The sequence below is a fragment of the Homo sapiens genome, chromosome 3, assembly GCF_000001405.40.
Source record: "Homo sapiens chromosome 3, GRCh38.p14 Primary Assembly".
Classification (NCBI taxonomy): domain Eukaryota; kingdom Metazoa; phylum Chordata; class Mammalia; order Primates; family Hominidae; genus Homo; species Homo sapiens.
This window is the reverse complement of record NC_000003.12, coordinates 161,171,532-161,186,557: the sequence shown is the minus strand read 5'-3', so window position 1 is coordinate 161,186,557 and position 15,026 is coordinate 161,171,532. Positions and strand designations below refer to the sequence as shown.

Genomic DNA, 15,026 nt, shown 5'->3' with positions numbered 1-15,026 from the left:
TGCCCACCACTCTCACTACTCCTATTCAACATAGTATTGGAAGTTCTGGCCAGCACAATCAGACAAGAGAAAGAAGTAAAGTGTATTCAAATAGGAAGAGAGGAAGTCAAATTGTCTGTTTGCAGAGGACATATTCTATATTTAGAAAACCCCATCATCTCAGCCTAAAATCTTTTAAAGCCAATGAGCAGCTTCAGCAAAGTCTCAGGATACAAAATCAGTGGGCATGTCTTTTCTTATTATTCATAGCAAGCTTTCCATTTTTTAATTTTTGTTTGTATTTATTTTTATTTTTTATTTATTTTTTTGAGATGGAGTCTCACTCTGTCACCCAGGCTGGAGTGCAATGGCGTGATCTCAGCTCACTGCAACCTCCACCTCCCGGGTTCAAGAGATTCTCCTGCCTCAGCTTCCCGAGTAGCTGGGATTACAGGCACCTGCCACCACGCTTGGCTAATTTTTTTGTATTTTCAGTAGAGACAGGGTTTCACCATGTTAGCCGGGATGGTCTCAATCTCCTGATCTTGTGATCCTCCCACCTCGGCCTCCCAAAGTGCTGGGATTACAGGCGTGAGCCACCATGCTTGGCTTTTTTTTTTTTTTAATTTTAAGAGATGGGATTTCACTGTATCGCCCAGGCTGGAGAGTGCAGTGGCATAAATCATAGCTCACTACAGTCTTAAACTGCTGGGTTCAAGCCATCCTCCTACCTCAGCTTCCTGAGTAGATGAAACTGCAAGCACATACCATCATGCTCAGCTACTTAAAAAAAAAATTTTGTTGCAGACAGGGTTGTGCTCTGTTGCCCAGGTTGGTCTCAAACTCCTGGCCTCAATCAATCCTCCCAAAGTGCTGAGATTACAGGCATGAAAGACCCTTTTGATCACACCTGAATTTACGCTAATCAGATGACTAAGGGTAGGACCCCTAGATAGCTTCAGGATGGAACTGATCACCAGAAAGATCAAGTGATTAGAAGGTTGGAATTTTCAGCCCCACTCACTGACCTCTGGGGTGTGGGGGTGGGGTGGAGATTGAGCTTTATAAAAACTCTTGAACAACAAGATTCCATGAGTTTCCAGATTGGTGAACATATTGATGTGCTGGGAGAGTGGGCACCTGGAGAGGGCATGGAGGCTTTATACCACCCCTACAGCTAGCCCTGTACACCTCTTCTATTTGGCTGTTTCTGAGTGGCAGTCTTGTGGGACCGGGCCCTTAACCTGTGGGCTCTGATACTAACTCCAGGACTTAGTGTCAGAATTGAATTAAATTTGGGGACACTTAATTGGTGTTGAAGAATTGAATAGAGAATTGTTATAGGAAACCCACATACCTTTGGTGGCAGAATTACCCATTTCTTATATTCCAGGTTTTTCCCTTTTTTTTTTTTTTTGGTTTTTGGATTATCTGTTCACTTTTCTAGAGCATATCCTTCCTGAGAAAAGAATGGATGTGTACATTTTGAGTCCTTCTATGTCTGTATTCTGTCTTCAAATGTGACTGCAAATTTGACTGAATTGAGTAGAGTTGCCGCATATGGTTGTAAAGATTATGCACTGCAAAACCCTAGGGGGTCATTTTTATTCAAAGTGTTTTAAAAATGCGAACCAAAACCGAAAAGCTCTAGGGGATGTCATTCACTGCATGTTGGTTTGGATTGAATATTACTTTCCAGAATTTTGAAGGCATTTTCTCATTTCTTCTAGCTTGCAATGATAATGTTAAAAAGCCTGACGTCACTGTGATCGTCTTCTTTTCCTCTTCTTTCAATGTGTACTGTTTTCTTCATCTCCCTTCACCCACTTCCATGCCTCTCTCTCCTTTTTCTCCACAAACTTAAAAAAAGATTCTCTTTATCTCTAGCGTTCCAAGATTTCACAACAAGGTAACTTGGTGTGGGCATTTTCTCAACTTTTCGCATGGACTCTGTTGGTACTTTCAATCTGAAGACTAATATTCTTCCATTCTGGGAGATTTTCTTCAATTAATTTTTGGTAGTTTCCTCCCCTCAGTTCTCTCTGTGGCCTTCTCTAAATCTTCTATTAGTTACAAAGTGAGCCTCTTAGACTTAATCTCCTCTTCTTTTTGTTAATAGTTTCTCCTGTCTTTTATCTCTTTATGTTTTTTATTTCCTAAACTTCCTCAACTTCCAACTCTATTTAAATTTTTAATTTCAGTAACATTTAACATATTTAAATGACTAGAAAAAATTTTAAAAATGTTTTGAATTAACTAATTTATTTACAGAAACATCAATTCTTTTTTAATTTTTATTTTAAATTGTAAATTGACAAATTATAATTGTATATATTTATGGGGTACAGGATGTTATGATTTATGAATACAATGTGGAATAATGGAATCCAGCTAATTGTCATATCCATCACCTCAAATACTTATTTTTGTGGTGAGAACATTTGGAATTTACTCCCTTAGCAATTTCTTCTTTAGTTTTATTTTGTTTTTAATTGACATAACAATCATATGTACTTAAGGAGTATACTGTTTCAATGCATGTATACATTGTGTAATGATCAAATCAGGGTAATTAGCAAATTCCTCACCTCAAACATTATCATTTCATTGTGGTGAAAACATTAAAAATCCTCTCTTCTAGCTATTTTGAAATATACATTATCACTAACTATAGTCGTCCTACTGTGCAATAGAACAACAGAACTTGTTCCTCCTATCTAAGTGTAGCTTACTTTGTACCTGTTGACCAACCGTTTATCTCTATCTCCCCTGCCGCTCTGCTTTCTCCAACCTCTGGCAACCAGTATTCTACTCCCTACTTCTATGACATCAATTTTTTAAAATTCCTCATATGAATGAGATAATGTGGTATTTGTCCTATGCTCGGTTTATTTCACTTAACATAGTGTCTCTAGGTTTATTCATGTTGTTGCAAATGACAAGATTTCATTATTTTTTATGGCTGAATATTATTCCATTGTGCATATATATATATGTATGTATGTATATATATATGTATGTATCACATTTTAAAAAATCCATTCATCCATTGATGACACCTAGGTTGATTTCATATTTTGGCTACTGTGAAAAGTGCAGCAATAAGCATGGGAGTGCAGACATCTCTTCCACATATTGATTTCAAATATTTTGGATAAATATCTAGAAATGGAATTGCTGGATCAAGAAATTTCTTTATTTCTTTCCCATAGTTATCCTGTTTTTGCTTAATGGCTACAATATACTTATATATTTTAATTCTCTGAGGATATTTAGTATAGCATTTTTTTAAAGTTGTCTTTGCTTCCTCTGGGTTCCTATTTTCTGTTTGTTTATTTTGATCTCTCATATGTTAAATGATTCCTAAAGAATATGTTGATCTTTGGCCATCTTTCCATGTTAAAGGCTCTAAAATTTTATAAGTTCTGGCCTGTGGACAGGACTTGCCAAATAGTGGATGATCTGGTAATATATCAGCCTTTTAAGTCAGTCTATGGAGGTATTTTCTCTAAAACCTTTCAGTATTATTTTTTGTTTTTCAACTTTTTACCTAGGAAGAACATACCAAACTACTGGTGCTCTGGAAGGGATAGAGAAAGGAATCTGGGGGTCCCAAAGTCCAGTATTAGTCCAGTATTTAGAATTTCATTAATCCCCCTGCGTGCAACCCTTTATTTCACCTTCACTCTCTATCACTTACAGTGTGTTTAAGACCTACTCCTCTGGTTCAGTCTCTCCAGAAATAAGCCACGATTGCCTGACTAGGGATAGTCACCGATGCACAGGAGAGGAAACAGGGGTCTAACCTCTTTGTATACTAGCAGATCCCTCTGGTTTCAGTGCCATGTTTTAATCCATGGTGTCATTCATACTTGAGCCCTTCAGGTATTCTGTAGCAAAAACAGGTTCATTTCTTGAATTTCAGCTAGTCTATAGCTGAGATCACTTTGCTTAAATGAATGACTTATTTTACAATGACCTGTGATCTGATTTTGTAATATCACACGTTTTAAACCTTTGATATTTGACAAACCTTCCAAAATCAAATTATAAATCATGTCTTTTTCTGACCTAATTAATCCTTTAAGATATTAGTAACAGGTTCCCTAAAGTCCAAAAATGACATATTTGCCTTATTTGGTATAAAAATTATACAGGAAGCATTGTCAAATATGAAATGGTGTTTGGTTTTCTTTGGGCTGTATTTGTATAAATATGTTATTGGTATGTGTTCCAAAATTATGGGAAACTCCTATAATTCTGATATGACTTAATATATGTTATCAGTAATAATTATAATTGTTATGTTACATTATTGTATGCCACAGAGGTAACAAATTTCCTTGTCAAAGTGCCTTTGACTATAGCTGCCCTAAAACTTTTTGCCATCCATGGACAATTGTTATCTTGGTTTGATCGGTTTTATAATCAGCTATAAAATGCTAACAGGTGCTTTTTAATGCAGGTTTCTGATAACTTTGGAGATTGTGACATCAGGATAAAAGAAAACTTTCAGGACTCATGGAGAGCTGAAATGTTCATGAATGTCAAATAGAACAGGAATTAACTGCATGGACTAAACTAACAGAAGTCCAAAGTAATCTTTTTAACTTTTTACTTAAAACATTGGTGATACTTTGTTTTGTTTTTCAGAGCCGAGAAAACTTTTATTTTAACCTATTTACAGCTTTTAATGAATGAGTATACTCCTATGAACAACATTTGGATCATATTTGTTTCTCTCTGATTTCCACAGAATTTGGAAACTATTTGTGAGTATTTTTAACTTATGACAATACAGTTATTTGCATAAGTGCAATAAGAATCTGTTTTCATTTGTAACAGGACCCAGTTGGAGAAACTGGTTATTTTACCAAGGCTTTGACTAGAATGGTGTGCTTTCCTTTAAGGAATCAAACTGACTTATGGAGCCAATCAAAGCCCCTTGGAAAAACTGGCCTCATACCTTTGTCTACAGAGTTCCTGACCTGTGGTAAGTAAAGAATGTCACTTTCTGACAGGCCTAAGTTTATCTTGGAAGCTCAAGAGGAGAGGGATTTGGCCAACTCATAGGCCTTTGATGGCACAAATCCATGGCTGGGCTCGGCTTTAAAAAAGTCTTATCTGAGATTCCTTCTATGGAACAAAGTTCCATCAAAGCCAATTTAAAAGCCTGTGTTAAAAAGTATTATTCCTCCTGCAAATAGTCAGGCCAGGTATAATAAAGCAAACCAGTGCTATCATGATTTGTCTTTAGTAAAAATGGAAACTAGAGAGAGAAAATTTATGGCTCAAAAAGTATAGTACACCTGTTGTTAAATTCTAGTCTTCCCTAGTGTTTTTCCATTTTTATTAATTTCTACAGTTTGGATGGAATTCTAATTTTTCTTGGCTATAAGTCTTCAAAATAATGTTTTCAATTTTTTTCTTCGTTTCCCTATTTTTCCTAATTTGGAGTCACCAGAAACTAAGCTGTGCTTTCATAAAGCCCTGCAAACTAAAGCTAGACAACTTAAACTTCAGAATAACAGCAACCTGTTTACATACATAAGGCACTTTCATACCTGCCTACTGATGTATGAATTTCAGAGTAATGTGGTCTGTATCAGTTTTCCAGGATTCTTCTTTTGTTTGTTGTTGTTTTTCTCCTTTTCTCCCCCTACTTTCTCTTCATAGGACTTGAGACTTCACAACCTTCTAAAAATGAGCTTTCCTAATAACTTGAGACCTATGCATCTAGGAATAAACCATCCTAACCATGAGAGATCAGACAAAACCTGAGATCAGAGAGACTCATTTTCTTCTAAAATGCTTTCTCCAAAAGATTTTTAAAAATAAAATGGGGAAATTGTGAAAGGAAAATACCTTGGATCCCCAAAATCACTTAGCTAAAGGGAAAAGTCAAGCTGGGAACTGCTTAGGGAAAACCTGATTCCCATTCTAGTCAAAGTCACTCCTCTGCTCACTGAGATAAATGCATATCTAATTGCCTTCTTTGGAGAGACTAGGAACTCAAAAGAATGCAACCATTTGTCTCTTATCTACCTATTACCTGGAAGCCCCCTCCCCACTTTGAGTCTTCCCACCTTTGCTTTGAGTTGTCCCACCTTTCTAGACTGAGACATTGCTCATCTTGCATATGTTCATTGATGTCTCATGTCTCCCTACAAGTATAAAACCAAACCGTGTTCTGACCCCCTTGGGCACATGTCATCAGGACCTCCTGAGGCTGTGTCATGGGCATGCGTCCTCAAATAAACTTTCTAAATTGAGACCTGTCTCCGATTTTCAGGGTTCACAAAGGCAAGTAATGGGGACTCATAATATCAATTTTTGTCTGACATATTTTACAATAAAATTTATTAAAATATACAGCAGGGATAAATACCAGATTGCAAGTTAAAACTTTGGTTCCTAGTCCAACTCAGCAGACAAGTACCTCTTGCCCCAAACAGACTATCAATTTGCCTAATGTTGCAAACTCTTTAGATAATCTACTTGCTTTCTGACTCTCTGCTTTCTTTCTGGCAGAGGCTCTTCCCCATTACAGAGATGGAAAATGGCAAATTATCACCTTCCTAGCTCAATTGCACTTACAGCATAGCCATATAACCCAGTTCTGGTCCTATTCCTCTGAAAAGTGTTGATCTTTCTTGTTGTTTTAGAAGGCAGTTTACTTGGATGGAAGAAAACTTCCAATTTTGTCTCCTCTGCAGCAGGTGGACACCTGAAATCATTACTTAGTGATTTTAGCCTTACCTTGGCTGCTTAGAGCCTTTCCTTATATATATTTATGGCTTAGGATTCATCTAGCAATTTGGGCAGAGTTTATATAGAGGATTTGGACCTCCCCCTCTCTAGCTCTCTCATTTCCAGAATTTCCATCTTTACTTTCCAGCTGTTTTAGCCACTCCCAACTCCATCCTGTTTTTTTTTTTTTTTTTTTTTTTTTGAGACAGAGTTTTGCTCTGTCACCTAGGCTGGAGCGCAGTGGCACAATCTTGGCTCACTGTAGACTCTGCCTCCCAGGTTCCAGTGATTCTCCTGCCTCAGCCTCTTAGGTAGCTGGGATTACAAGCACACACCACAATGTACAGCTATTTTTTTTTTTTTTTGTATTTTTAGTAGAGATGGGGTTTCACCATGTTGGCCAGGCTGGTCTTGAACTCCTGACCTCAGGTGATCCTCACACCTTGGCCTCCCAAAGTGCTAGGATTACAGGCATGAGCCATGGTGCCTGGCCCATCCTCTGGTTCTTAAAGCCAGTAAAAGTGTGGGTTTCTGTGCACAGGGTTCTTGGCTACCCTTCCTGGGCCTTGTCCTCAAGCTACAAGGCTTTAAAAATGGGAAACTTCTTCAGTGAAATGTTCTTCTCCCAATTGTAGACCCAGATTCTTCCTGCTTCTAGTCTCCAGTGCTTTCAGGTAATTGTTCACTTTTGCCCAGAGTTTATAGTTGACATACGCAAAAGGATTGGATTAATAGAAGGTACTTCACAATTACCTCACAACTCTCAGAAGACAAAAGGAATATGACAATGGACTCATCATTTTCAGGTATTCAACCTTACTGAATACATAATATGCAGAGGGTCAAAATCTGTACAGAAATTGCTGAATATTGCTTTTTTTATAAAATATCCCAATTACTTTCTTTGAAGAATGGCTAATATTAATTAATGTGTTAATTTTTATTAATAGGCTAATGAAAAATATTCATTATTTTAATATACCTAAAAGAGACAAAAAACATTAATTTTTATTATACTGTAAAAAATGAAATATTATTAATGTTCCATTGTCTTCACTTGGATTGACTTAACTAATTTAGGGTCTTGCTCAACATTTATCACCAATAGCAGTCCCAGAAAATATGGTCACTTAATAAGTTTTTAAATTAAATCTTATACAATGACTAATGTATACAATTAATGCAATCATCCTCTTTGCTATTTTAATTGCAAAAGTATATTTTATGAGTCAAAATTTAGGATGAAATAAATCTTACCCAACAGATTTTATCAGAAAAACAAGGTACCCTATTTCAGGCTTTTCAATCGCCAGAAATTAATGGGATCCAAAATAGTAGCTATAAGAACAATATATATGGTAGAATAACAGAAAGTGAATTGACCTGGAAGAGGCTAAAAATGTCTTCTCTCATTTTCCAACATTCAAAAAATATCTCCTGCTATGTAATTCTGTATTTATGATATTCCTGAGATTGTGGTTAAAAGACAATAGACACATTTCACATGAGCAGTCATGCTGAATAAAGTAATAAACATTGTGAAAGCAAAAGGAGTAAAGGTTAGAAGTAGAGCACATTTATTTTAGACCCTCCAATTGCAGACCTAGCTGACGTGATGGGACAGATCCCCAGCTTTGCTGACCCTTATTATAATGAATCAGTGAAGCCCACTGGCAGATGGCCCTTTCTACATGGGGTTCCATTTATTGTTTTTGCAGCTGGTTAAACAGTAAGTCATAAAGTAGGCCACCGTGCATCCACAGGAAAGTGATTATAGACACAGGGAAATGTCTTTTTTAGAAATTTTAACTAGTTTTGTCTGTGCGAATGAGAAACCTTGATGAGAAGATTTTCGACACGACATTTTTCTGTTGATGGATGCAGTGTTAGTGCTGGCCTCTTTATAGAAACTGCATTGGTTATCCAACACCTGGAAATGCACAAAACATAAGCTTCTAAAACTTTCTTCCAATAGCTACAGGATTTGTCCACAAAATAAATAGCTTCAGGTCATACACTTAGCTTCTCTCTCATCTTTTTAGGATATGTCTCTAGTTCATACATGTGTTTTATTTGATCTGCAAATGTTTTTAAAAAACTGAAACAATATTTTTAAATATGGGGAGTTTTCCCTCAAATAAATTTTAAAGATCACAGACAAAAGCCCAAGTTTTCATCTTGTCTTGGAAATTTGGAGACTCGCAAGCAAGGACTCAAATTCCTGAATGAGAACGTTGGGTTGAGCTGAGTAACTTCAACTTCTACAGGACTTGTGCTCCCACCCACCCAGCTCACTTCATTCTTTCCCTAACCTGCTCAGCACTAAAGGCATTGAGTTTGAGGTCCAGGTCCTATATGATGAAAACACCGTCTTGTGAGCTTTATTCACCAATACTATAAATGTAAAGATAAAGTTGTTATTGGTGTGGCCCAATATTCTTTGAAAATCGGGCTTAAATATAGGAGGTTATAAGAATAACTTCTCTTTAATCAAACCCTTACAAAGAATATGTGTGCTTTGCTAAAATAACTCTTTAGCATACCAGCTGAAAACTTTTCTGTATTCACCTATATACACATGCCTGTAGAGAGTAGTGGTATACTTTTTCAACATAGCTTATTCATTTTTATTATAACATCTAGGAATTGACTATTTTTGCCAATCACACATTTCCAACATGAGGTAAAAATGTAAATGTCTGTAACCCTCAACTTAAAAGTGATGGGAAAGTTTAGAGAAACTAAACAAAACATTAAAAATTGAACTCAACAACAGAATAAGTATAATCTATATAAAAGAAGTAACTTTCTGACCAAAGTTCTGGTAGGACAATTAATAGTGATAACATTTATATATCACTTGCTCTCATTTAATCAGCAAAAAAATCCTATAATGTATATTGTATTTTAGTCATCTATTGGCGCATAAAAAAACTACCCCTAGATTTAGCAGCTTAAAATATCAAACATTTGTTGTCTGATTAACTGCAAGTAAGACTTAGGAAACCTATGAGATTACAAAATTTAAATTCCCTACTGTTTATCCAAATGGTGCCTTGTGGAAAATTTCTACTCATTATATACATATCCATGAAAGGAATGTGATATATGTTAGATCAGTTTCAAATAGCAATATTATACCGAAAATAAGAATCTTTTCTATGTGAACTACTTCCACCATCCACCATCACTGTTCTCACAGTGAATTTATATCTTTGGAAAGCTGAGCACTTCATTGTTCAGTTTACTTCTCTTCTTTCTCTTATTTTACTTTTTTTTTTCTGTTTCCCTTATCCCCTCTTCAAACAAAACTCATTTTAAAATATGGCTTGAATTTTATGAGCCCAATATTGCTCTTGGGATATTCTACATGAATTAGAAAATAAAATGCATCCTATTTTTATAGTAGCATTTTGGAGGAAATTAAAACCACAGTATAACAAAAAATTGATAAATTGCTATTATAGGCTCTTCCATAATGCAAATAAAATAGTTACTGCAGTACACATAGAACATCTGCTAATCTAAATTAAAATGAATGAGAAACTAAATTAGAATTGCTTTTTCCATCTAATCATATAGAAGACTAAACATATTATGAACTAGATATTCCCAGTGTTTTTAAGACATTGCCAATTAGTGAGCTTAGTGCAATAAATTGAAGCAATAACTAAATAGTATCTTGGGGACCTGAAGGAGTTAATGACTGGCCTCCTCACTGCTTAATTAACAGCTGGGCAGAGCCACCAGGCATCTCTAATTTAGTAGTAACAAAAGGTATAGATTTACTTTAAATCCCAAGCCAATATTGGTCCTTTTTCTTAGTTGCACTATTTTATGCTTGCTTGCTTTAATTACCTTATTATCAAATTTACTATCTCAATAAGCACATTATCAACGTAATTTCAAACTCATTTTTGAATTCTGGATTCTAAACTCTGTATTACTCCCTATAAAACAGTGGAAAACAGAAAATAATTTTAAAAATCATCTCACCATCAAAAATTTGAAAGCCTGGCAGAAAAAGACAAAATATAATGTCCATTTCTTGTTACTTCTAAGGAGTACAGCCCACTACCAGCCTCCCTCTGCTTTCCTGTGGTTCCCCCGTTGACTCACTTAATTATCACTGAGAATGACAATATTTGCTTGCTCTTTGTGACCTGGCTTCCTCCCTTTTCTTTCCCCATTAAAGAAAAAACAATATCCTGCTCCCTTCAGTAGCACATATATCAAAATTGGAGCAAATCTCAAAAGCTGAATTAGCATGACCCCAACCCAAATATGACAAAAAATTACTAAAGTACATCATATTTTTAAATTGCTAAAAATCAAGTGAATAATCTGTATTAATAGGAATTATTTTCAATTGTAACAGGAAACCAAACTAAATTATTTAAACCAATTGTGAGTTATTTTTCTCAATTCTTTAAAGGAGCTATCAAAGATCCAGTTAGCTTTCTGCTCTAACATCTCTAGTGTGTAGTCTTTATCCTTATGAACACTTCATGATACCAAGAGGGCTGCTCCTTCTTTCACTTTGTGTCTATATTTCAAGAAGGCATAATGAGAAAGAAGAAATGTAAAAGGCATGTGCCAACTGAGTTGAATCTCTTTTAGAAAGCTCTCCTAAATATCTCACACATTAGACCTAATCTCATTGTCCAGAGTTGGGTCATATGCCCAACTTCAGCTGCAAGAGAGACCAAGAAATCAACTTTTTAAGATATACATTGCCATAAAAAAACAAAATGAGGCTGGGCATGGTGGTTCCTGCTTGTGATCACAACACTTTGGGAGGCTGAAGCAGTAGGACTGCTTGTGACCAAGAGTTCAAGACCAGCCCAGGCAACATAGCGAGACCCTGTCTCTACAAAAGAAATTTTGAAATTAGCTGGCTATGATGGTGTGCACCTTGTAGTCCTAGCTACTTGGGAGGCTGAAGTGGGAGGATTGCTTGAGACTAACTAGGAGTTTGAAGCTACAGTGAGCTATGATTATGCCACTGCGCCGCAGCCTGGATAACAGAGAGAGAACCTGTCTCTCTAAAAAAATGGAGTTCTACTAGTAAGGAAGAAGAGAGAAATTATTATCAGGTATGCAACTACTACTCTCTGCTAGGTGAGGTGAAAGAAAGATTATTATAATAATTATAAAATTATAAGGATATATAAAAATATAATAATAAAATTATAAGGATATAATGCTGGATGCAGAAAAGAAAGAAAAGAAAAGAAAAGGGATGAAAGCAATTTTAGAGAACATGATAAAATGAAGAACAAAGGTGACCCAACATAAGAATAATTGATGTCCCTGAGGTAAAAGTCAACAAACAGAACAGGAAAAGTATTTTGAAATAAAAGAAAGTAAAATGTTACTAAAACATAAAACCTGAATCTGTAGTTTGATAGAATACATTCTATATAAGAAAACAAAGACATAGGTCAAGATACAATGTGGTGAAGTTATTGAACTACAAAAATTAAAAAAATTGCCAGGTGTGGTGTTGCTTGCCTGCAGTCCTAGCTACTCAGGAGACTGAGGCAGGAGGATCACTTGGGACCAGGAGGTTAAGGCTGCAGTGAGCTATGATCATGCCACTGCACCTGAGTAACCAGGTGAGACCTTGTCTCTGAAAAAAAAGAAAAATTCTAAGAAAAAATTTAAAAAGAATTCAGGAATTCAAGCAAAACAAGTCATTTATAAGAGAAAAAGTCAGGATGGCCTCAGACTTTGACATGAAAAACATCAATGACAGAAATGAATGGAGCACTATCCATCAAATGCTGAAAAAAAGAGGGATCCAAGAATATTATATGCCTGCAAGATATTATTCAGTCATAAAGTCAAGCAGCAGGCATTTTCAAAAACTAGAGAACTCATAAAATACAGCAATATTATTAATTGGATTATGTCTCCCCAAAATTTGTATGTTGAACTCCTAACCCGAAATGTGACTATATTTGGAGGTAGGGCCTTTATGGAGGTAATTAAGGTTAAATGAGGTCAAAAGGAGAGATTAATACAATAGAATAAATGTTCTTATAAGAAAAGGAAGAGACACCAGAACGTGTTCTCTCCACAGAGGCATAGAGGAAAGGCCATATGAGGACATAACAGGAAGGTGGCCATCTTCAAGCCGGAAGGAGAGCCCTCTCCAGAAACCCAACTCTATGGCATGTTGGTCTCGAGTTCTGGCCTCCAAAACAGAAAAGTAATTTTGTTAAACCACCCAATCTTTTTTTGTTTTTGTTTCTTAGATGGAGTCTCGCACTGTCACTGCAATGGCGCGACCTCGGCTCACTGCAACCTCTGCCTCCTGCATTCAAGCGATTCTCCCACGTTCAAGCAACTCTCCTGCCTCAGCCTCCCGAGTAGCTGGAATTAGAGGCACCCGCCATCAAGCCCAGGCAATTTTTGTATTTTTTGTAGAGAAAGGGTTTCACCATGTTGGTCAGCCTGGTCTTGAACTCCTAACCTCAGGTGATCCGCCCACCTATGGCTTCCCAGAGTGCTGGGATTACTGGTGTGAGCCACCGCGCCTGATGGCATTTTTAAAATAGCAGCTACAGCACACTAATAGAAGCACCTATGAGCTCTCTGTGAAAAGTTTAATTGATTATAAAACTCAGCCAGCCAAGAAATGAATCAAGATTTTAAAACTCATTTGTGGCAACATGGATGGAACTGGAGATTATTATAAGTGAAATAAGCCAGACACAGAAAGACAAATATTGCATGTTCTCACTCATATATGGGAGCTAAAAAAAGTTGATCTCATAAAAAAAAGTTGATCTCATAAAAAAAGTTGATCTCATATGATAGATGCTAGAGGCTGGGAAAAGTGGGTGGGTGGGAAGGGGAATGAAGAGAGGTGGGTTAATGGTTACAAACACACCAATAAAAAGTTTAAGTTCCATTGTCAACAGTAGAGTAGAGTGACTACAGTTAACAACAATATATTCTGTATTTCAAAGTAGCTGGAAGAGAGGACTTGAATTGTTCCCAACACATAGAAATGATAAATACTCAAAGTGATAGACATGTCAAATAAATACCCTGACTTGATCATTACACATTCTATATATATAACAAAATATCACATATTATCTTATTACCCTATAAATATGCAAAATATTATGTAGCAACTTTTAAACTTTTTTTTAAAGATTGGAAAACTCAGTATTGGAAAAGACATAGTTGAAGGGCAAGTAGTAAACAATGAATCTATGTAAATGTAAAATGAAGGATCAAAAGCTGGGGTAGTAAAAAAATATATAAACAAATACAATCAGGGAAAAGGGGTAGGACTTAGCAATGACAGCTGGCATTTATTTGGTGTTCATTACATTGTCGGTACTGTTGTGTTACAAGAAAAACCTGGGGTGGGAGGGGTGGGGTGGGGTGGGGTGGGGTGGTGGGAAATAGTTGAGAGACCAAAGAATGACTTGGACAAGTCCGGCTTGGTAAGCAGATGAGTTAATCAGGACTTACACACAGGGCATTCCTGGGCAGCAGCAGGACAACTACAAGATCTACCCCACTGCTCTTCTCTAAACTGCTTTTAAGTTAATTTTCTGGCTCTTTGTCCACTATTATGTTTCCAGCTATGCTCCAGGATGTTTGGGTTCTCAAGGACACCTGCCCTTCTGCTGAGCACCAAGACCTTGGCTCATTGCCTAGCCTTCAGGATTCAAGCAGTAGACATAAACCTTTAACTAACCTGGTGGGGTCCTGCCACACTACATTTCCATATAGTAACTCATTCAATTTCACAACAACTCTTTGGGGGTAGTTACTGTTTTATCCTCATTTTACAGAAGAGAAAATAGAGACATAAAAATAGGTAATTTGCTTGTAATAAATAGGTAGTACATTGCTTATGATAAATAGGTAGTACATTGAAGAGCAAAGCCTTAAATGAAGGTGTTAGAATCTACAGTCTTAGCAACTATACCAAGATGCTTTCCACTAGGGGGACCAACTGTACTGGTTTTAGTGCAAAAATTCCCAAATCCCAAGGTACTCCTCACTCCTAGGCAAACTGGGATTGTTGGTCACCCTACCTCCCAGTATTAATCCTATTATCTTTCATAGCAGCAAAGCATTCAATGCTAAAATTAAAATGTAATTTTAAAAAACAGTAATGAACATAATGACTCCAAATCCTTAATAGTTTTTATAATCTTTTGTGTTAACCTTAGGAGATCTAAGACACAATCTCTCTTAATGGTAAAGAAGCATTTACCCAAAGTAGACAAATTTTTTCATTTTTAAATTCTGTGTTTCAGAGGATT

At 36.3% G+C, this 15,026-nt stretch overlaps 2 long non-coding RNA genes across 2 annotated transcripts in view; one reads left to right on the top strand and one right to left on the bottom strand.

Annotated features, from left to right (window-relative positions):
* Positions 1–15,026, bottom strand: part of LOC124906300 (uncharacterized) — a 55,680-nt gene that overhangs the window by 16,234 nt on the left and 24,420 nt on the right. The gene's annotated exons all lie outside the window — the stretch shown is intronic.
* LOC105374186 (uncharacterized) lies at positions 590–13,070 on the top strand. The gene is made up of 5 exons (XR_007096149.1): positions 590–4,576; positions 4,667–4,751; positions 4,890–4,972; positions 7,426–7,535; positions 12,990–13,070. It is a non-coding gene; the product is annotated as an uncharacterized LOC105374186 (long non-coding RNA).